Source organism: Homo sapiens, chromosome 18, assembly GCF_000001405.40.
Source record: "Homo sapiens chromosome 18, GRCh38.p14 Primary Assembly".
Lineage (NCBI taxonomy): Eukaryota > Metazoa > Chordata > Mammalia > Primates > Hominidae > Homo > Homo sapiens.
Window position 1 is genome coordinate 10,888,931 of NC_000018.10, and position 24,876 is coordinate 10,913,806.

General features: G+C 42.0%; 1 protein-coding gene across 11 annotated transcripts in view; it reads right to left on the reverse strand.

Moving 5' to 3' along the window:
* Positions 1-24,876, reverse strand: part of PIEZO2 (piezo type mechanosensitive ion channel component 2) — a 479,323-nt gene that overhangs the window by 218,684 nt on the left and 235,763 nt on the right. For all 11 annotated transcript variants that reach the window (XM_047437735.1, XM_017025918.3, XM_047437736.1 and 8 more), the window contains exon 4: positions 22,256-22,298. In XM_047437735.1, the coding sequence (XP_047293691.1) occupies positions 22,256-22,298 (43 nt within the window). The remainder of the gene's footprint in view (positions 1-22,255; positions 22,299-24,876) is intronic.

The following is a 24,876-nucleotide window of genomic DNA, read 5'->3' on the forward strand; positions in this document are numbered from 1 at the left end:
CATGCTGCTACAGCCAACAGTTCAAGGGGTCATTTCATGATCCTAATGTGCACACTTTGTGGATACCAAAATCTCAATTCTTGATGGGAAAAGGAAGGAAGGAAAAATGGAAAGGCAAGGAATGATGAAAAGGCAGTTTATTGATTCTTGGTAAAAAGAGGCTGAAAGAGAAGAGATGGAGAAGAGAGAGGAGGACAGACACAGGTCCACCCAGGTGTGCACAGGTACTTCCGTCACCTGCCATCTTCTAGGTTTCAAATTCGGCTTTCATCCTTCCCCAAGTACTATCAGTTTTTTCCCCTTTCTGTAACTTGACTGTTGAATAAACTACCACTGAGCAAATGTTCAAGATAAGGAAAATAGCAGCAACTTAATCTGAACTGCTGCCTATTTAGTAGAAGTAAGAGTGTTCTTGTTAAGCTACCTTGAGAAATCTTTGGATTTTGATAATGAATTATTTTAAGGCTTTTGGACACAATGGTTGACCCTGAAAACTATAAAGTGTGACTCTAATGTCTTTATTTGCAGATTCGGGAAATTAATCATGAGTATTTAGACTATGTTTTTGGAAGATGACGGTTAAGGGCATTTAGAATAATAATCTGCATTTTACAGTAACCTCATAGGTGCTGGGTTGTTCTTTATCAACTTGGTCAAGCTGAGGATTGTCCCCAAAATCCCAACATTTCGTGGCTCTGAATTAGAAATGGCCAAAGAGACATCTACCTGTGTGTGACCTGGAAGGTACAGGTGAAGCAGGACAACTGTTTCTGAAGCTCTTTACACAGTGGATGACAGACTAACAAGGAGGTGTCAGGTAGGGTCCCTCATCCTCATTCTCCTCCCTAAGAGCTGCCCAGGGGACCACAGCAGCCCCAGGTCCACTGCCAGATGCTTGGCTGCCACCCCGTGGATGTGTTAGCCACATAGAAGAAAGAGCTCCCAAGGACCTTTCCAGGGGCTCCCCATCGGGGTCCCACTTTAACTGCTGACGTCTCAGGTTGACTGGTTAGTCACCATGTCTCTGTCTTTCCTCTTGGACCTTGGCTCCCCCAGCACTGTCCATAATTATACACAGCCTAATTCCTGAGATAAATTCTTTATCCCATAACAGAGCAAATCTGCTCCCCCATCAAACTCCAACTGACCAGCTCCTACTGTGATGCTTTAATTGGCTAGCAAAGCTCTTGTGAAGTACTGCAAAATGGAAAGCCAGTAAAATCTTGTGTGTTTAAACTACAGCCCATACAGGGGAAGCCAGTGATTTACTCCTATTTAGTGAGGACACAGTCTCAGGGTCTCCATTTGCTTGAACTAAAGTGTGAGGATTATGAATGTAATCCACAGTACACATTTCTAAGGCAGAGCAGGCCTCATTTGTCAATGTGGCTGAGTCTGCAAGTGCCATGAAATATAGCATTTGCCATTTTTTTCAGGGAACAGCTTAGAGTAAGCAGCTATAACAAGAATGTATTAGTCTGTTCTCACGCTGCTAATAAAGACATACCCAATACTGGGTTTATAAAGGAAAGAGGTTTAATTTACTTACAGTTCAGCATGGCTGGGGAGGCCTCAGGAAACTTAAAATCATGGCAGAAGAAGAAGCAAACACATCCTTCTTCACATGGAGGCAGCAAGAGACGTGCAGTGTGAAGTGGGGGAAAATCCCCTTAGAAAACCATCAGATCTCATGAGAACTCACTCGTTATCACGAGAACAGCATGGAGGTAACTGCCCCAATGATTCAATTACCTCCCACCAGGTTCTTCCCATGACACATGGGGATTATGGGAACTACGGCTCAAGATGAGATCTGGGTGGTGACACAGCCAAATCATATCAAGGAATAAACTTCTAATTCGCTTCTGAGCTTACCATCCCTCCTGCTGAGCACTGGTGTTTAGCCTGGTGTTTTTCCAAATGCAGGTCATGAATAATTAGCATATTATAAAATAAACTTAGTGGGAATCAACCAGTACTTTATTTTTTCTGTAATATAATAGAACAAAGGAAATAAAAAATATATCGAATCTCCTTGCAAGTGGTAAGAGTAACTTTTTTTTTCCTTTGAAAGTTTGAAATCACGTGTTGTACCAGATCAAAACAGAAAGTGCATTGCTGGCTGGAAGCGGTGGCTCACGCCTATAATCCCAATACTTTGGGAGGCCGAGGCAGGTGGATTACTTAAGGCCAGGAGTTCGAGAGCAACATGGTGAAACCCTGTCTCTATTAAAAATACAAAAATTAGCTGGGTGTGGTGGTGCGCACCTGTAATCCCAGCTACTTGGGAGACTGAGGCAGGAGAATCACTTGAACCCGGGAGGCAGAGGTTGCAGTGAGCGAGATTGCGCTACTGCACTCCAGCCTGGGAGACAGACTGAGACTCTGTTAAAAAAAAATAAAAGAAAGTGCATTGCTTCCTGCGGTCACAGTAAAAAGTTTGACTACCATCATCAAACAAGTAAGGCAGTTGTGTAGGGAACAGATGAAGACAGTACAAATCCTCTTTCCAAATCTCTTGGAGCCAAATGTACTTCAAAATTCATCCTTTTCCAGAATGCAGAAAGACACATGTTACATACATGATGTACCGCTTGATGCAGACACTAGGCATTGGCCCTGTTCAAACACACACATGAGGACAATTCGCACTCACAGGAATGGTCTCCCTTCAGCTACCAGGTGACTTCAGGTCAGGTTTTGCCATCACAAAACTAGGCTAAAATGTTTTCAGAGCATTGCAATTTTGAGACTGCAGGTGAGGGATCTCAAAGGCTGTACTCAAATCTATTATAACAAGCTAAAAGTAATTAGCTATAAAAAATTCCAAATTTTTCAGAAATAAAATAGTAATCAAATGAGTGATAAATAGCTCTGAGTTTTTAACTGTCAAAAGGTAAAGCTTCTGTTAAGCAAATAAAATAAATGAAAATATAAATTTGTAAAGCACATAAAATAGAGTGGTAGACATACTACAAATAGAATCACCCAAGAATATCTTTAAATATGTTTCTTCATGCAGTTCAAGTGTGCTTTAATTTTCAGAAATGGGTCCGGTAAACATTTAGGGTAATGCAGGATTGATAGGCAGTCAGACTGAAGATAGAACAGCCAATTAAGAGACTCCTAGAGTGAAAGAAAAATATGATGTCCACACAACCACCTGCCTGCAAACATTCATAGCAGCTCTACTCATAATTGCCCAAAACTGAAAACAACCCAATTATCGACCAACCAATCAGCAGATAACTGATTATATAATGTCTATATAATGGAATACCATTAGCAATAAAAGGGAATTATCACAATGTACCCCATAAATATGTACAATTATTATGTATTATTTATAAATAAAAATTAATTAATTAAACAGGAATCAAGTATGGATACTTGTGACTCTATGGATAAATCTAAAAGGTTTATTCCATGTGAAAAAAGCCAGACACAAAAGGCCATAGACTCCATGATTCCATTCACATGACAATCCAGAAAAGGTAAAGCCAGAGAAAGAAAAATCAGATCAGTGGTTGCCACGGGCTGGGGGAAGAGGTGGGAGGTTGACTGCCGAGGGCAGGAGACTCTTTTTGGGGATAATGAAGATAACACACATCCTGACTATGGTGGTGGTTAAATGATTGTGTATATTTTCAAATTCATAGAACTACTCACCTAAAATGGGTAGAATTTTAGGAATGTAAATTGCACCTCAATGAACCAGAGAGAGGGAGAGAGAAAGATGGGGAGAGGGGCGGGGGTGAGGGAAGCACAGAAGCAATTTAGCATGAAACAATAAAGACCGCAAGTGTGGTGAGTAGGAATAGAGAGGAAAAGCAAAATCTGAGAAAACATAAAAATGTAAATGAAGAAATCACCACCAAAATCTAACAAGTACTTCATACAAATGAAATATTTTAAACAAGCTACATCTGTAAATATGTAGCTGTTGAAAATAACAGAAATTGTACTAAATGGTAGGCATTGTTTTCTGACATCTCAACATTCAGAAAGAAATATGGTCAGTAAAGGTCCTTGAGCCCTTTTCTGCAGTATTTCAACAGAGCTGCTTCAGTGGTTTCTCCCTGGGGATTTCCCTAATAGAAAATTTATGGCCAGGATAAAATTAACAATGCTGGATTCAGAGGAAACTGTTTCTACTGCGAATCCCTTTGCTTAAAATTCTGGGAAATTATGTTTTAGTAGTTCAAGACCTATTACAAAATCACTGATTTATTGAATTATGGCTAGGTTAATGAGATATTCTCCTAAACAAAGATTTGTTATTTTTATAAATTAAAAAAATAATAAAATAAACAGTCCCAGAGTGAGCTGTGGCCACTGAGATTTGTATGCCTACACATTTGAACAGTGTGCATTTCTATCTTATTTGCAAGATGCCAGCCTTCTGCTCCAGCCAGGTCAGATTCCTCAGCGATGTGCAGGCAGGTCACACCCACCTCAACCTCACTGCTGTCCCTGTCCTTTGTAGACTCTTCCCTTCCCTGTGCAAATATTGACCCCTCTTTAATTCATCAAGATGAATCCAGCTTCCCGCAGTAATTATCTCCCTTCCAGTCCAGATGCAAGGGTCTCTCTGCATGGGTTCCTTGGTAATTCAAGTAAATGCTGTCCATATGAACAGTGAGCTTTGGGGCATCTATTTCAGATGGGTGAGCAGTTCAGGATGAGACCATTTCTTCTTCTTACCTACTTCATCATTCATGCTCATCTCAATGTTGGCTATAAGGTACGTTTTTAACAAACATTTTTAATTGAATGGTATAAGAAATCATCATTTATTATAGTTGTTAAATTTGGTGGGACCGAATGTTCAGTAACAGCTAACTGTTTATACTGTAATGAATTTCTGCTTTTAGCATTCAATTTCACAAACACATCTGTTAAATATTCTTTGGGCATCTACTAAATGCTAGGCACTGTGATGACCTTGCAGCTTCCTCCTGATACCCAGGTGCTTTTGTTACAGTAGGTAGCTAGTCAGGCATGAGTGAGGCAGGAGAGGATTGCCCCCACCCGCCACCAGGAAAGTCAGGTGAGCATCAGATGATGGTCAGGTGGTTGTTAACTGTCTCTTTAAAATAGTAATTGGTCGCAGCCAGCAGCAAGGAAAGGCCGTCTCCGTATAGATAGAAAGACACCCGAAACTGGTGATCAGCAGCTTCCTGATAAAATCCCAGGAGGTGGGTGAATGGGCTCAAGCATGTGCATTAAGAGGCAAAATGGGCCAAGTGCGGTGGCTCACACCTGTAATCCCAGCACTCTGGAAGGCCGATGGGGGCGGATCACCTGAGGTCAGGAGTTGAGACCAGCCTGGCCAACATGGAGAAATCCCCTCTGTACTAAAAATACAAAAAAAACAGCCAGGCGTGGTGGTGGACGCCTGTAATCCCAACTACTTGGGAGGCTGAGGCAGGAAAATCGCTTGAATTCGGAAGGCGGAGCTGGCAGTGAGCTGAGATCACCCCACTTAACTCCAGCCTGGGCAATAAGAGCAAAACTCCGTCCCAAAAAAAGAAAAAAAAGGCAAAATAGCAGAGTATGACCTTCCAGGGACATTTCGCAGGTAAAGGGAAGCACGCCTCAAGTGATCATGCAAACAACTCCAGTGAAGACACTGCGCATGCTCTCTTCCCAAGTGCGGGCAGGCAGCTGTGCATGTGGGCAGCCCACCCCAAAGGAAGAAGAATCAGGAAAGAAGGGGCGCAAGACTCCGGACGTATGCCAACGCATAAAACCCCAAGTCAAAAGCTCAAACCACACATCTGTCCTCCAAGATGCCTACTTGGCCCCTTCCAAGAGTAATTTACTTTCGTTTCATTCCTGCTCTAAAGCTTTTTAATAAATGTTCACTCTTGCTCTAAATCTTGCCTTGGCCTCTTTTTCTGCCTTGTGCCCCTCAGTCAGATTCTTTCATCTGAGGAGGGAAGAATTGAAGTTGCTGTAGACCCGTATAGATTCGCTGCCAGCAGCTCGGGATACCTGCCACCACTAACATTTTGATGTTAGATGTCTGCAGATCCCACAATCCCTCCCTCTCTTTCCTGAGATGAGAGTCTGTAATGAAGAATTTGCCCGTGCTCTTGCATGGTCATTCCTCCCCCTGAAGCCTCAGTGGGCTGTCATTTGCCCAGAGGCAACATGTGTCCTCCAGGCACTTAGATGCCACTGGCTTCTAGCTCCCACCAGGTTATTTGGTAGAAAGTCAACAGCCTCATGGCCGAGCATGGTGGCTCATGCCTGTAATCCCAGCATTTTGGGAGGCCAAGGTGGGTGGATCACTTGAGGTCAGGAGATCGAGACCAGCCTGGCCAACATGGTGAAACCCCATTTCTACTAAAAATACAAAAATTAGCTGGGTATGTTGGTGCGCACCTGTAATAACAGCTACTCGGGAGGCTGAGGCAGGAGAATCGCTTGAACCTGGGTGGCAGAGGTTGCAGTGAGCCGAGATTGCACCACAGCACTCCAGCCTGGGCAACAGAGCAAGACTCCGTCTCAAAAATAATAATAATAATAGTAAGTCAAAAAAGAAAGTCAATGGCCTCATGAGGTTGTTCAGTGACCACACCAGAGCCCCCCAGCTGGAACAGAGTGCCGGGGAATGGTGCCGTTTGTTGGGGTACCTGTGCAGCAGTAGCAGTGCCGTGTGGGGTTGGTGATTGTGGGGTTGCCTCACTCAGGATTTGCATTGGAGTGATCCTCAGTTTAACACCTGGGAAATGGGGCGCTCCCTCTGACCTGCACATTTCATCTCTACCCAATGGACTACCAGCAACAGGTGTAATGGGTGCTGATGATGTTGTTTCTGTCTGTCTCTAAAACTCAGAGCCAGGCACGGGCAGGCTCACGCCTGTAATCCCAGCACTTTGGGAGGCTGAGGTGGGCAGATCACCTGAGGTCAGGAGTTCCAGATCAGCCTGGCCAACATGGTGAAACCCTGTCTTTACTAAAAATACAGAAAATTACCCGGGCGTGGTGGCGTGTGCCTGTAATCCCAGCTACTTGGGAGGCTGAGGCAAGAGAATCTCTTGAACCCGGGAGGCGAAGGTTGCAGTGAGCCAAGATCATGCCATTGCACTCCAACCTGAGCAAAAAGAGTGAAATTTCATCTCAAAAAAAAAAAACAAAAACGAAAAAAAAAAGAAAGAAAGAAAAGAAAAGTAACTTAGGCCAATGTGCAGATGACTCAGAACACACACTAGTATTCCTGGGGACTGGGAGCAAACACTAACCCTTCAGACCATGGGTCCTAGTAATAGTGAATGAGTCAAACAGAGCAGCCTTCATATTACCTACCACTATTTTCCTTCAAAAAATTAAACTCCTGTTTTCTGGAAGGTGCTGGTGACCATCTGACAATGTGGGGCGAGGCCTGACCATTGGGTTTCAGATTTCTAAGGACAGGTGTCTTCTTATCCTCCCTGCACTGCAGTCTCCATCCATTAGTGTTCTAATACAAAAACACCAGCAAATCCACTGAAATTACACTCAGTCCAATATGGAATTCGATTATCTGTGTGGATTTCTAAATAAATATATTTAACTGGTCAGAGTAGAGTGCAGAGAAGTTTTCAAACCCAAACATTTCTCATGATGGCCGAGTGAAAACAATTTTCTCTCTGTTTATGGCAAGCAGGTCAATAAACAGCATCTGGAAGAAGCCACTGGAAGCCGTATGTGAGGCCTCCCTGACTTCCTAATTTAATGTTGCTGCCTCCCTGTGCTACTGAGTAGACAACTGACCAGGGTTTGCCATTTGCCCTCTGAGTGACACCCTCTCAGGTCTCATGGCTCACAAATTCAGGATGTTAGTTCACTGATCCTTGCTGTGTGAGGTCCGGCATCACCGGCCTCCACCTCATGTCTGAGAAGAAGGTTCCTGTTGGTTCAGTTCTGCTCACCACCTACTGCCAAAAAGAGTTGGGGGTGAGGTGTGGTATGCAGGATTGTTTACTTCTCTGCCATGGCCTTCCACATAATCTCTGCTGAAAAAAAGTCTCTCAACCACCCCACATAAGGTGAGTCACTCCTAATTCACTACAGCAATAGAACGATGCAATGTCTATCCTCAAATCCTAAGACCCCTGAATGAAAAAGTAAAAATGCTAAACATCACTGCCTACTCTGATAACCACACTGCTAATAGTGTTGTGGGAGGAACCCGGTGAGGGATAACTGAATCCTGGGCTTGGTTTCCTCCATATGGTTCTCATGGTAGTGAGTAAGTCTCAGGAGATCTGATTTTTTTTTTTTTCTGAGATGGAGCCTCGCTCTGTCTCCCAGGCTGAAGTGCAGTGGTGCAACCTCGGCTCACTGCAACCCCCACGTCCCAGGCTCAAGCGATTCTCCTGCCTCAGCCTCCCGAGTAGCTGGTATTACAGGTGCCCAACACCATACCTGGCTAATTTCTTTGTATTTTTAGTAGAGACGGGATTTCACCATGATAGCCAGGCTGGTCTCAAACTCCTGACTTCAGGTGATCTACTCGCCTCAGCCTCCCAAAATGCTGGGATTACAGGCGTGAGCCACCACACCCGGCCCAGATCTGATGTTTTTATAAGGGGTTTCACCTTTCACTTGGCTCTCATTCTCTCTTGCCTGCCGCCACATAAGACGTGCCTTTCACCTTCTGCCATGAGTGTGGGGCCTCCTCAGCCACGTGGAACTGTGAGTCCATTAAACCTCTCTTTCTTTATAAATTACCCAGTCTCGGGTATGTCTTTATCAGCAGCATGAGAACAAACTAATACATTTAAACACTTTTAAGTGCACATGTAACTTCTAAAAGTGTACACTCAAGGTGAAAGGAAAATCCAATCTGTAACCAACAAACTGTAACTATTTAATATATCCCTTCTGAATTAAGGGCAATAAGTCTTTTATGTAATACAATAATTTACATATTTCTAAAGTACGCTTCCTTTTATACAGGAAATGATTGCTCCATGTTAATAAAATACACGGTCTTCAAAGACTTTCTCTGCTATCGAATGATATTGAGGTAGGCTGGTGCAAGCTCCTCAAGTCCTTCTTGGTTATGCAGACAAAAAAATTTAACATAAAATCCTGGCTTACAAACTGTCTATTAAATTAAGTGCAACAAATGTTTATTTTATATCTTCTTTGCATTAGGGCATTGTGCTAAGCACACGCTCATGAATACAGCATTCCACCCTTGCATGGATGTGATCTAAGAGGTAAAAGTTTTACCTAAGAGAGACTCTGTATATATTTAGACAGAGTTTTAGTAAAATATTGTATATGAGATCGAGACCATCCTGGCTAACATGATGAAACCCCGTCTCTACTAAAAACACAAAAAACTAGCCGGGCGTGGTGGCAGGTGCCTGTAGTCCCAGCTACTCGGGAGGCTGAGGGGGGAGAATGGCGTGAACCCAGGAGGCAGAGCTTGCAGTGAGCCGAAATTGCGCCAGTGCACTCCAGCCTGGGCGACAGAGCGAGACTCCGTCTCAAAAAAAAAAAGGAAATAGGAGAAAGAAAGTGTGGGATGAAGTCAGACTGCAACCATAAGGAAAGTTAAAATGTGTGCAGAACGAAGTAGTGAGAGATAATTTGACTGAAAATGTGGGTGGGGGACGTCCTGAATATTAGGTTGGGGAGTTAAAAATTAATTCAGTAGATAGGTGAAAAATTGGATTATAGCTGTGTTTTAGTAAAAATAATTTTGTTTTCTTGTCTAGGAAGAATGAGGTAAGGAAATATTGGAATGAGGCTTAAGATCAGGGGAAGGGCCATTACCTTCCCAGGGAAGGGAGGGTTAGCCTATGCCTGAGTAAGTATAGCAGGAAGTCTGTAGAAAGGAGAAGTGAACATCAATCTTTCAGCCACAGGAAGGTGTTTCTATCAGAGATGCAAATCAGCGTGGTATAGGAGCAATGTCAAGGAGTGGGGTGGGGGCTCAGCAATGCCAAGATGGGGTTGAAAGAAAAGGATTAAGTAAACATACGAAGCCTGGGAGTCCTGCCTGACCAAAGCTTCCCTGGGTCCCTAAGCAATGAAGGATGCAATCAACTGACGCCAAGAAAGGCAGGGAGGCAGAGAATACAACATGTATTTAGGCAGCTTCACATCCAGGCAACGGGATTGCACTGGACACATAAGAAGACCCCAGTGGGGCCTGCAGAGACTAGCAAAGGGAAGCATGGGCTCTATAGTTAAAAAGACCTAACTGCCTTCGTTCAGCTGTCAAGAAGTTACTCAACCTCTTGGAATCTCCACTGACCTGGGAATGAAACAACCAAGCTATGGAAGTCATACAATACTGGGACAATCCTGTAGTTGTTCGCTACTTCAAATATTCTGTGTAAACTTAGGAAGGTGTGTTTGTGTGTGTGTGTGTAGAGGTATATCAGGAAAATGAAGAATCAGGAAGAAACTGTTTTCACTTTATCTAGGATAATGTATTTCCAAAGATTTGGATGGAAAACTCAAACACTTCCTATGAAATCCACCTAATAAAAGCTGTCATTTTAATTGAGCAGTAATGTCTTTGTCTCCAGTAAGGTGCTTCACTGGCTGAGCTTCCTCAGCATAAAATGCCTATGGAAAAGGCATTTTATGGTGGTTAGAGATATCAGAGAGCTAATTTCAGACTTGCACGTAGGATGCAGAACAAATAAGAAATATGAAGCCTTCTCTTGTAGCTGCCTATTAGCACAATTCCCCTAAACATTCCATTTTATACACTCAACACCCAACTGTTACCTCCATATCAAACAGCATGAATTTCCTGTCTACTGTTCATCATGCTGTCTACACCAAGACTTGAAATGTTTCAGTGACATATAGTTCATCTCTTCATGCCCCTCATGAAACCTACAATGTTCATGCTAACACCTCTGACTTTCCTAGAACAGTCAAGGTAATGACCTGGGAATTCAGTTTTTTAGTTCAAGAATGCACTGTTTTCTGTAGGATCTCATTGTCATTCATTAACTCGAAGACTGTTTATATTAGTCATAATGATCCAATTTAGGAAGATGGAGATTACAAATCAGAGAATATTTTCTTCCAGCCATGTTTTGAAAGAAAGAAGTTTTCGTGAAGGATTGCTTATTTTTGCTAGAAGAAAAATAGATATTTTCACCAAACACTTATTAAATTATGTCATTATGCTTGAATAAAGGAAGGTAAAGCTAATTAGTTTCTCTGTTGGAAGTCCTAGGTAAAGCTCTCAACAGCCTAAAAATATAAATCACTTACTTTTGTTACACACACACACACACACACACACACACACACAAACACCTAAATCCACACATACACATGTATATATATTAATTTCTGGCTTTTAATCTGTGTTTCAAGTACACACAAGATACCTTGGCAGATCAGGGCAAATATCGAAATTGATCAATTGCATAGGGAAAGTTTCGTTACAATGATTATATAGTATCACATACATGTAAAAGCTTCTTTCCTAAGAGCTAACTTTTCTCGTTGTGTGGGAGTCACAGGCACTTAAGTGTTTATAGCAAGACTGGAAGAGACCTCTGCCTACTATCTTATGATGAAATGCAGATATCTCATGACAATGGGTTTGAACAAAATCTAAGTCAGAATTCTGGTTAAGTTAGAGGTATGTTTGTCAGTCAGTACTTCACCCAGATTAAAGATTAACCATTTAGTTTGTCTTTGTCTTGGCACGTCAGTTTTCCCTATCAGTGCCTAAGGTGACCATAGTGACCACTAGTCACCGTGTCCTTCCAAACCTTTCATGTTTGCATTTTGGTACCAAACATCAACCACACACACACTAGGCTGGGGATAGGAAAATCACCCTGGCAAACTCTCATCCAGAATGGAAAATAGACGTGCTCCTACTTCTGCCTCCACACATGCGCAGTATCTCTCTTACCTAACCACAACCTTCATTTTTGCCTAAAATCCTTTCAATTCAGTGCCCCAGTCAGCCACTAGCAAAGATTCAGAGTTTTCCCTGGACCCATGCTAATTATAGTATAGAAAACAACGTTAGCATTTAGTACTATGCTCAATTCTTCATGCAACAATGTTTTTCAAATGAAAGAAAAGAATAGAAAAAAGATTTATTAAAAACAAACACATTTCATTAGTGCCAGAGAATATTTTAGTATGTTCACACTAGTCTTATCTGAAAGACCTGAATTCTGTGACTTTAATAAAAGTTCAGCAAATGCCGAAGGATGGTGGTGGGCTGAGGAAGAATCCATCCCATCTGATTCTCTGGTGTTTTCCAAGTTTGCCTCATTGTATCAAAGCAAAAGGGCTCCAGGTGTTTGCTTTATTTTGTATAAGGAATATAGGATAGAATTGCTGCAAATACTTCCACCATCAGAGACCCTCAGGGTTTTCTTTGAGCCTCAGGATTTTCTCTCTGGGCTTTCTAATGGTTGATACCAGGATTCTGGCCTGTGCATGAGCTGTAACAGGGTGTGAAGCAGGGAAGGTAAATCACCTACTTCTATTCACACACACACACGCACACACACACACACACACACACACACACTGCAGGTGACACTAAGAGTAAGGGACAGTAGAGTTACTTCTGAAAACTGCCACTGTGACCTAAAGCAAGAAAGCAGGTTGGATGGTGGCGTTCAGAGTTCAAATCTGCTGTTTACTTCTTTGAGCTGGGTGGTCACATGGTGAAGTACTTTGAACCTTGGTTTCTATGTCCATAAACTAGTGTGGTGCCAACAGCCACTTTAGAGCATTGTGGAGTTTAATAAAACTGATGAATACATAATATGCCCTAGGGTGCTGAGTAGAATATGATTACTATTATTATTGATAACATTCTTATCAAATGGGGGCAAAATGAAATCATTAGTAATACAACTTCATCTGATTGAATCTATCAAATACAAAGTCAGATCCGGATTTTAACTCTATCTTCATAAAAATCACACTTCCACCTCTTCTGCTTAATTTCTCTGTGTCTCAGTGTCAACATATGCAAAACAAAAAAAAAAAAAGGAGAGGCTCTCTCTAGGGTAGGGGTCCCAACCCCTGGGCCTTGGACTGGTACTGGTCCTCGTCCATAGCCTGTTAAGAGACGGGTCACACAGCAAGAGGTGAGAGGCAGGCCAGCTCCACCTCCTGTCAGATTAGCAGCAGCATCGGTTTCTCATAGGAGCGAGAACCCTATTGTGAACTGCACATGCAAGGGATCTAGGTTGCATGCTCCTTATGAGAAGCTAATGCCTGCTGATCTGAGGTGGAACAGTTTCCTTGAAACCATCCCTACCCCTACCCCCATCCGTGGAAAAATTGTCTTCCACAAAACCAGTCCTGGTCCCAAAAAGGTTGAGGACTGCTGCTCTAGGGTATCTGGAGGTCTCAAATTGCAGAATGCTATGACCGAAGTTTAACTCATTGCCCATCTGCTTCCAAGGAATTGACAGAGGGCATGAAGGAACATTTGTAGATTTTGTCATCTGAGAAAGAAATACACTGATATCTGCATCCAAAACCGGGCTTTTAAACTGAGATAAGCTGACAGTGTGTTTTTGAGCTTCTTTGAATTCCCTGACACTGAATGTAAAACTTTCTGTTTATATGTCCAATGTTTACATCAGATTCTCTAGGGATCTAAGACATGACACCCCTCCTCCCAAAAACGTATGAGCCACAGACTTATAAAGGTGTATAATTGGTAATTAAAGTAATAGTATAAATAATATTAGTGTCATTTTGTACCTTAAAAGAATAAATCCAAGCCAAAGATAAAACTGGAATCCAGGTTGTTTCGTTTCATATCACTTAAGAGAGTTTACCACTGAAATCATAGTTCAGGTTTTCCAAAGTGCAGACCCTGAACAGAGGGCTTGGGTGCAGGTGGTTTATTTGGGAAGTCATCCTGGAAAATCCAAAAGGAAGGGATGGAGAAGAGATAGAAGACAAGAAAGAATGCATTGCTCGTGGGTCATGGGTATAGAAAGTTTCTAGGAAGCTTCTGCAGAACCCTATGCAATGTGCCTCGAATTGTCCAAGGAATTGAATGGGGAGCTGGTGCATTTGTACACTACTTCTGTTGCTCACTGATGGGCAACAGGGCTTTTATCCCCAGCCTTTCCAGGCTGCCCCGGGGAGACAGCAGCTATGGGGAGGCACCAACCCATGGGCTGTACTCATTCCAGAATCCTTCCTCCCCTACACGCTGACAGTCAATTATTCACCAAGTTGTAACTTCGAATTCTACTTACCTAAAATGCGTTTGGCATACATCTGCATGTCACACTCACACTGTCCCTATCTTGGTCGAGACATTATAATCACTCTCCTGAACTACTGCAGCAGCTTCCTAGCTGAACTCCTGGCTCATCTGGTCTATATTGCTGCTCGAGTGACATTTCTAGAAGCACATCTAAGCTTACCTTCTCTGGGGTTTACACCCTTCAATGGCTCCCCATTACTACTGAATAAGATTCAAGGCCAGGCACGGTGGCTCACGCCTGTAATCCCAGCACTTTGAGAGGCCAAGGCGGGCGGATCATGAGGTCAAGAGATCGAGACCATCCTGGCCAACAACATGGTGAAACCCCGTCTCTACCAAAAATAAAAAAAATTAGCTGGGCATAGTGGCGCGCTCCTGTAGTCCCAGCTACTTGGGAGGCTGAGGCAGGAGAATGGCATGAACCCAGGAGGAGGCAGAGCTTGCAGTGAGCCGAGATCACACCACTGCACTCCAGCCTGGGCGACAGAGCAAGACTCCATCTCAAAAAAAAAAAGATTCAAACTTCTTGGCATTGCCTATAAGATACTTCCTGACATGGTTTCCACTCCATACCCAGATTTCATGTCTTATCAAGTGTGGCTTCACACTTTATCCCTAACAGTTCAGATGGATGAATGCCAATGAAGCCATTCTTCAAAACTCTGCCCAGATGTTCCCTGAAGTTAAGCTTTCACAGACAACTCCCATCCCTGTCCCCCAACTATGCAGCCAGGCCTTGCCTCAACCTCACACATTGACCTACTCCTTCTTCCACTTCTGTAATATAGATATCATTAGAATAGCACCTGGTACACAGCAGCAGCAGCTGCTCCAAAAACATTTTCAAGTGATTGAACTAAATGGTAGCATGTAACTCATAAAAATACAAAATATAGGAGTTATGTGTAAACATAAAATATAATAGTCAGTTACATGATACCGTTTAGTTATGTACCTTATGTTTACATATAGAGGAGATATGTATAAACATAAAATATAAATGGTATCATCTCTAAGACCAAGACCTATTCTTCCCATCATCCCTAGCACCCAGCATTGTTGTCATAATGTGTGCTCAACAAACCCTTATGGACACGTACAGCATGGTAGATTATGAATGAATAGAAGGTAGAGCCCATAAAACCGAGTTACCGCTTGCTTTTGCCTCTACTAGCTGTGCAATCTTGGGTAAAATACTTAACTTCTAAGATTTGACTTTACTCATTTGTAAGATGGAAAAGGTCTACTGTGTAGATTGTGTAGTACTTCCCCCCAGTCACTCTCCTTTCTTACGACGGTCTTCTATATCCCTGTGTGTGATGTGTGGCTTAGAGTGGAACCCTGTGGGAGGAGCGTGCTTCTGTGCCCACAGGCCTTGGGCTTGGCACCTGGAAGTAGGCAGAGGTGGCATACTTCACACTGAGCAAATGCTTCAAGAGCCACTGCCTGGTATGGCCAAGGCATTTCTTCTTCAGCCACAAGAAAGCCATGTACCAAATGAGGGCTGTGTTTTAGCCTGGATCCCAGGATGGAGCAGGCACTGGAGAAGAGCCACAGTCAATCCACAGCCTCTGCAGCTGACATTTAATACGAGCAAGAAATCACCCTCTGGTCTTTTAAGTCACTGAGATATGGGGTTGTTCGCCCAGCATAACTCAGTAGAATCTGACTCTGGAAGTTGTGGGAATTCAATAAATCCTAAAGCAAAGTGTGAACACAGAAGCCAGCATAGTGTAAGTATTTGATAAATCACACTTCCATTCCTGTGATGTTTATCTGAAAACTCCAAATATAGCCCAGGGGTGGGCAGGAAGCACAGGCTTAAAAATGTTCAAAGAAGAGAATAAATTAATATTTTGGTCTTAATCTTAAATAACAACTTAAAAAAATCATTTTTCCCAGTCATTTCCCCGATTATAAACTACTTTGACAAAATTTTACATTATAATTTCAAAATAGGTTGCTAAACTTTTCAGGAATATTTATGCACATACAGTCTGAAAGAATTAAAGAATTTAGAAGCCCATCTTTCACAAATCTAACATAAGAACAGGGTTAATCATTGAATTAAGACAGAGGTACTGTGTATCTCTCCATGCCATGTACTGCGGGCTTATAAACTTACAAGGTTGGCCAGGCGTGGTGGTTCACGCCTGTAATCTCAGCACTTTTGGGAGGCGGAGGTGGGTGGATCACCTGAGGTCCGGAGTTTGAGACCAGCCTGACCAACATGGAGAAACCCTGTCCCTACTAAAAATACAAAATTAGCCGGGTGTGGTGGCACATGCCTATAATCCCAGCTACTCAGGAGGCTGAGGCAGGAGAACCGCTTGAACCCGGGAGGCAGAGGTTGCAGTGAGCCGAGATCATGCCATTGCACTCCAGCCTGGGCAACAAGAGCGAAACTGTTTCAAAAAAAAAAAAAAAAAACTTGCAAGGTGGACCACATTTCTCTTCCCTCTACTCTCAGGAGTGAGCCGCCTCCTGAGCCCATGGCAGTGTGGTGCCTGAGTACTGTGAGTTGTAGTGACAAATGACACTTCCAGAAGCTGCTGCAACGTAATGACAAAAAGACAGTGGGTCCTTTCTCTCTTGACTTTTTCCTAAGTCCACTCTTTTATAAGCACTCTCCAATTTCCCTATTAAGAAGTCATTAATCTATCCCACAAACATCAGATTAGCTAGTATATATCAGGCATTGCCCACGGCACCAGGGTATTAAGAGAGTCTCCTCCTTACATGTTCAAGAATGTGAAAAGAATTATGAGAAGAGGTCATGCTCCTGGGAGTGGGCCATCAGGACAGGTTTTACTGAGCAATAATATCTAAAACTTGGGAGGTGGTTGGAAATTTCTTTATGACATAGATGCTGGGGAAGAGGCTTGCTGACAGACAGAGCTATGGAAGGCTGCGGTCACCCCAAAAGACAGAGCTAGGCCTTTTGAATTATGTCTACACTGAAGGAAAAAAAACTAGGGATATTTGTTATCTCATTGCAGAAGGCTATTTTCAGGGTGATTTCTATTTTAAAATGTTCTTTGAAGGAGCAAGATATTTTGTTCCACTATCCAAGTGGAGCATCAAATAAAATCACATACAATAATGTTAATCATAAGGTAATCTGAAGTAATGTTCTGATTACACAGAATGACTGAGAATATCGTCTTTGCTTTTTAATTAAAAACGGGCAAGAGATCAGTAAAATATTGTTATTTTTAAATAGACAGCAATATGATCTCCCAGTAAGCAAAAACTTTGATTTCTGCTGGCAAATTAATATACTCAAGCCTATTTACTTGGTGATATATTTTTCCCAGACAAAAAAACGCAGCCTTAGATAGAGAAAATTGTGTTCAGAACTCACTGAGAGATCACTATGATAGATATTATAAGAACTTTTTTTTTTTTTGAGACAGAGTCTTGCTCTGTCGCCCAGGCTGGAGTGCAGAGGGGCGATTTGGGCTCACTGCAACCTCCGCCTCCTGGGTTCAAGCAATTCTGCTGCTTCAGCCTCCTGAGTAGTTGGGACTACAGGCACATGCCGCCACGCCTGGCTAATTTTTAGTATTTTAGTAGACACGAGGTTTCACCATGTTGCCCAGGCTGGTCTCGAACTCCTGAGCTCAGTCAATCCTCCCACCTAGGCCTCCCAAAGTGCTGGGATTACAGGAGTGAGCCACCACGCCCGGCCCAAGAACTTTCTTATATCCTGTCTTTTGTCGCCTTCCTGAGCCCATGGCCGTGTGGTGCCTGAGTACTGTGAGATGTAGTGACAAACGGCACTCCCAGAGGGAACATTTAAAATCCAGTCTGAAATTGTCCAAGTCCTCTTTCAATGCCTAAGTGAACTTTGAAATTTTATAATTTCAGAACAGGTTGCTACACTTCCCAGAAATATTTGTGTATTATCTGAAAGAACTGAAGAATTTAGAAGCCCATATTTCAGAAAGCCACCATAAGAACAGCATTAATCATTGAATTAAGAAAGATGGTCTGAGCATGGTGGTTCACGCCTGTAATCCCAGCACTTAGGGAGGCTGAGGCAGGTGGATCACCTGAGGTCAAGAGTTCAAGACTAGCCTGGCCAACACGGTGAAACCCCGTCTCTAATAAAAATACAAAAATTAGCTGGGTGTGATGGCGGGTGCATGTAATCTCAGCTACTTGATAGGCTGAGGCAGGAGAATCGCCTGAACCCGGGAAGCAGAGGTTGCAGTGAGCTGAGATCACGCCGCTGCATTCCAGTCTGGGCAACAAGAGCAAGACTCTGTCTCAAAAAAAAAAAAAAGATGTATTTGTTTCAAGCATCATGTTGAGATGAAAGCACTGTGAGAATGCAGCCTACCAATGACACACCCCGTGGAGGCGAGCTGCCCCATAGAATTGTCTATTCTCCTCATCAGATTTTGCAGGAGTGAGAAAGAAACATTTGTTGTATTAAGCCACCAAGAATTTGGGCCATTTTAGCTCCAAGCTTGTTGGTTTCAAAGCCACCCTCACTGATTACACATGATTAGCACAGGCAGGGTGTCCACGAATGTACAAAGCCACGCCCACCTGGCATCACCCTATCCTAGACTAATAAATGACTGTGATTTGGAAATATTTATAATCATAAGCTTAGAAAATCTGCACAGAAAGGTGAGCTGATTGAAACCAACATTTGATAGGCACAGATTCTTTTTATCTATAATAAAAAAAATTGAGTCTGCTTTTGTTATGTAGATATTACTAATGTAGTACCAGGAGTGGGAGGTGACTGAGAAGATACACAAACCTACATTACAACATTTTCTTTCTATATTACAACACACTTCTGTAATGAAGTCTTACAATAAACTAATAGCCCCACAGAGGGAAAATGTGATTGTGTGAAGGTGTAAATGACACATTATTATGAGTACAGCCACATAAACTGTGACTACGTGTATTTATTATGAGACAATGCATATAATCACACAGCTTCCAGAGAGACAACTGAACAACATCTCAGGGGAGGTCCACCACTATCCCATCTAGTGTTACTGCAAGGAGGGTAGGCAGGGCAGGTCCTCTAGGTCTTCCTTTCAGTATAACAGTTACACAACAGAAAGCGTCTTTGCTTTTTTTATTCTTGGAGAAAAAGCTTTGCAGCTTTAGCTGACTCAGTTACTTCTTTTCATTTAGATGTGATCCCTTTAAAATAATCCGCTGGCAACCAGGTTGATGGATGAACTTCAAAGAAGGACATAGTGATGAAAAGATCGATAGCTTTTAAGACTGCTCTAAAGAACCAGATAGCTGTATTTAAGATATAATTGGAATTTCCCTTTAAGAGAAAGAACAGGTTAAACTTGAGAAGAAAAAAGACAAGCCATATATAACAGTACTGCTGACATTTAGTCTTTGCAACTGTAAATATACAAGAACCTCAAAGATCACTATCTGTCCTGTATTTGAAGGCGCTTGTTGTGATGTGCAGAATACTGTTGGCCCTTAAACGAGAAAACCTGAGATGACATGGGAAAACACAGGATGACATGTTAAGACATCCAAAAACCAGAATGATCACCAAAGGCCCTCAATGGACCCATACTATAAGTACTGAAAAGTAATGGTTGAAACTCTAGGCTCAAAAATAAACATACCCAAGAATTCCATGTGGTATGGTGTTGAAAGCTCAGTCTTTGGAACCAGGCAAACCTGGAACTGTGCGGGATGCTGCGTGGCTGACTGTCTGGGTAGCCTGTGCAATTTTTTCAGGAGTTTTTTTTACCTGCCAGGTGATGACCAAAGTCTACAGTGGAGGTCAACAAATGACAGTAGCCAAATCCTGCCTGCTGCCTGTTTTTGTAAATAAACTTTTAGTGAAATACTTTTACATCCACTGTCTATGGCTGCTGGGAGGAAAGGCTGAGCCAAGGAGAAACAGGGGATGAGCCTGGGCCATCTAACTGTGCAGGAAACACGAAAACGATAGAGTGATGGGTTTGTGTCAAAAGGACGAGAAGTCAACACATATATGTTCCCAGAGGCTGAACGTGAAATAATTTGAATTTACATGAAATGAGGGATTAGAATAACAAACAATATTGCAAACAGACAAATTCAGAAAGTAAAATATTCTGTAAGACAACCGATCTGGTTTCTTCAGAAGTCAATGATGTGAAGAAAAATGAAAGGAAGCTGGAGGGGCTGGGGGGCACTGATCTAAATAAAGAAGCTTAAGGGAAGTGATAATGAGATGGAATGTCTGGGCTTCCATAGCATCCTGTTGCAACCAATACAAATGACATTTTTGAGATGATCAGGAAATGTAAATATTGACTGGGTATTAAATAATGCTAAAGACTTATTTGTATTAGGTATGATGATGGCACTATTCTGGAAGAAATGGCCCATTTGTTTCAGAGATGCATGCTGACCTATGTAGGGATGAAATGACATAGTATCTGAGAACTTCTTTAAAATGTTTCAGCCAAAATAAATAACGTAAGTGTGGCAAAGACTTATTGGAGCTGGGGAGTGGATAGGTGACCTTTTTCTACCATTATCTCTATTTTTGTGTATGTTTTAGATGTTTCATATTATGAAAGAAGGATCAAGGGAAAGACGCTTTAGAAAAAGATTTCACATGGAACTAAAGCTGGGCATGACTTTCCATTCTTTCTTTTAAGTTGGCCTATGGGATCTGACCACCCCAAATCAACTTCCCGCAATACCTTAAGAATTATGAGCACTTACTGAGACAGCAAACAGCGATGGTGCTGATGTAGGTGTTGGTAGGGAAATAAATCATCTTTGAATCAATTAACAAGTGGCAAAGAAACTGCTACCACATGGGTCTACCGATGTGCTATTCTTTATTGCTACAGGAGAAACAATGCATTTTCAAGTATTTTATTATTTCCTTTGTATACTTTAAGTGCTCTGTCAGCTTCATCAATACAGAGACAAACACATTTTCAATATGGTAAAAAGAACTAGTCAAAACCTACTGTGACAGTAAAATGAAATTAAAATGACTTTTTTTCTTTCAATAGCTATATTTCCACTGAAAATTTGAGATAAGATGCTAAATGCCACTGGTAGAAAGCTGTGCAAAATGCTAACATTCATTCCAAGGTAGGTGGTTTAGAAACTGCATTGACCAGCGGGTGCAGTGGCTCACGCCTGTCATCCCAAGCCCTCTGGGAGGCCGAGCTGGGCGGATCACCTGAGGTCAGGAGTACAAGACCAGTCTGGCCAACATAGTGAAACCCTGTCTCTACTAAAAATACGAAAATAAGCTGGGTGTGGTGGTGGGCGCCTGAGATCCCAGCTACTTGGGAGGCTGAGGCAAGACAATCACTTGAACCCAGGAGGCAGAGGTTGCAGTGAGCCGAGATCATGCCAGTGCACTCCAGCCTGGGTAACAGAGTAAGTCCCTGTCTCAACAAAATTTAAAAAAAAAGAAAGAAAAAAAGAAAAAGAAAGGAAAAGAAAAGAAAATGCATGGACCTACCAGCACATTTTCTGATGTTTTAATGAGTCTATTTTTGTTTCTTTTGGGGAGATGCTGGTGTGGAGATGCTTTTAGCTAAGAAAAACATCATCTCAGGTTTTCACTTAAGGCTAATAAGATCTAACATTTTTAATAATTGGGAAGACATCAATAGAAATATAAACTTTTCTGTTCTAAAACTGTAGAATTGGTTATGACATAGGAGGTGATGAAGCTAGGGGAGAGTCAACCATTTCCTGGGATTCTCTAATTCTGTAACTTACTTTGTGTACTGTTTTACAGTTCAAGATGCGTTTTCACATCAATTGCCCCATTCTATCTTTATTTCCACTCTGTGTGCAGGCAAGGCTTTATGAAGTAATGCTCTACAAAGAAACTGAGGCTCGGAGGGGCAAAATGACGACTTGATCAAGGTCATACAGTTACCAAAAGGGTGGTGACAGGACTATTGATTTATAATCAATAAATTACTTAGAAGAAATTACTTAAAAGACAAGAGTAACTAAAATGGAGACATGCCAACCCTTGCTTACCTTTCAAAGCCGATCTGCCGGAATGTCTTTTCCCATGTTGAGCCTGTAATGGAAGGGAGAGACATAATCAGGGCACATCAAGGACTCAGATAGTTTTGTTCGGCTTTTCCACACACGCTAGATATTTGGTTTTATGTTTAGGTAGGATGACTGGTTTTTCTTCAAATGCATTACTCCCCACCTCCAGTCCCAGATGGCCTTTGTAGAGTACAGAAAATTTAATAAAAAGTCCGCATATACAGAAGTCGAGTCCACATAGGGATTTAAGTGCATATAACCTGCAATGTGGCCAGCCGCAATGGCTAACGTCTGTAATCCCAGCACTCCGGGAGGCCAAGGCAGGCAGATCACCTGAGGTCAGGAGTTCGAGACCAGCCTGGCCAACATGGTGAAACCCTGTCTCAACTAAAAATACAAAAATTAGCCGGGCATGGTGGTGGGCACCTGTAATCCCAGCTACTCGGAAGACTGAGGCAGGAGAATCACTTGAACATGGAGGCAGAGGTTGCAGTGAGTCAAGATCATGCCATTGCACTCTAGCCTGGGCGACAAGAGCAAAACTCCATCTTGAAAAAACAAAACAAAACAAAACAACAACAACAACAACAAAATATGCATGTGACAGAACTCTCCATGCCAACCCCTCTGGTAAAGCATTAGGCCACGCCAATAATTCTCTAAAAATCTAAGTGTGTCCTGCTCAGAAAAATATGGTGGAACTCTCCTGTTAAACGTAATCAAACAGCTGTACGTTCTAAAATTCAACTTGTAATTTTGTGGAGCAATCTGGAAAGCCAGGTGACACTGAAGTTCCAACACATCACCCACCATGCCTTTATCTTACCAGTGTTGACCACAGAATTCACATATTCTTTTTTTTTTAAGCTAAACATGTTAAATCAGAAGAACACAAAAATGCTATTCCAACTGATATCAAGAACAGTATATCCAAATCCATAAGAGATGGACAGCTGGGTATAAAAAAGATGTTATACAATTTTTCTATGTAATATTTCTTCCCTATGTCACAGGCATATAATAATTTTCTGAGTACCTGATATAAGGAAAAGTGCTAAATTTTAGGAAAAACCTTTTTAATAAAAATTCTGCATTTACCAAAAGTAAGGATTTGTGCTAACCCGTGCCATTTGTTTACATTTTCCTGATGCTTAGTCAATGGTAAACATATTCTGATTTCAGTAACTATTGCAGGTAAATACCCACCTAGCCCTAAATTCATAAATTGTGTTGTGCACTAGGTGCTTGATAATCACAGCAGGTAGTTATTGATAATTACTGCCTTTCTGATAGAGTTACTTCTGTCAATAGGAAACGGTGGGTTCAGCACTGAGTCCCCAGCTAAAAGGCAGCTGAAAAGCTACCTGGCTTCTTTTCCTAAAGTCAAATTAAACTCGTACGGTGCTTAGGTTTATTTCTTGAGAACTCTGCCTCAAAGGCTTCATCTTCGGATGGCCACTAAGTGTCTCCTAGACATTAGGCTTCCTCAAGAGGAGTAGGAGGCCCCAGGGCCAATTCTCTGGACTTCTCTAAGGACTGAACTAGTCCCAAGAGATCATGATCATGGGGTTTTGCCAGGGGACCTGGGTTCATACTAGTTGGTCATGATGGAGTGTTTTAAATAATTCTGATAAATAATAAATGACTAAATTTCGGATGTGGATTAGACACACAAACACATTTAAAGCAGATTCAGGCTTATATTTTCACATGAAGTCACTCTTCTCTGGCTGAATTCCAATATGTTTTGCTGAGTAGGAGTAAAAAAAAAAACACAGACTTTGAGCTAACCAGCCCAGGAATTTCTTTTGGCCCCTGGCCCAGGGGAGTGGGTCCCATGTGAATGTCTTCTGACCTGTGAGTCACATGCAAAACAATTAAGAATCCCTTTCTCAGGAATTCTTTTTAAAAATATTGTTATTTTTAATTGACACATAATAATTGCACATATTTATGGGAACAGTGTGATATTTTGATACATGTCTATGATGTGTAATTCTCAGACAATTATCCTGCCCCTGAAATCCTAGCAATTAAGAGACTGGCAGAGAATACATAACCTGTGGAAGCCACAGTGTGTTCAAGAACCGTGGCAACTGCCTGCCTAGACTATGAGGTGGGAGAGATGAGGGTCTCCTACCAAAATGAGAACCAGATGGCCAAGCACAGGCCAAGTGTGGAGGGTCCCCGGAGGGAAGGATTGGACGGTGAGGAGGTTGAGATGCTGCTCGGCTTGACTTCTCTTGCTTCGTGGAAGAAACAAAGCACCTTTTACATTTTTCTACATTTCCACTGTTTTCTCAGATATTTTCAGTATTATTCTTATTTTTTATTTTTAATAGGTTCAATTACTTTTCTTAATAGGTTCCATTTATTATTCAGGTAAATTTTTTAATTTAAATGATTTTGCTATACTATATTGTTAGGCTTTTTTAACAGGGAGTTTTAATTTAAAAATAAGTCCCATCTTCCTACTTCTGCGAAATGTAAACTTATTTAAACAGGCAGGACAAGTCAAAAGGTTTCGATGCAAGACACTCAGTACTCCTGAGAATAAACATTAGGCCACTCAACCAGGCACAACAGCAGTGGCAGAACGACTT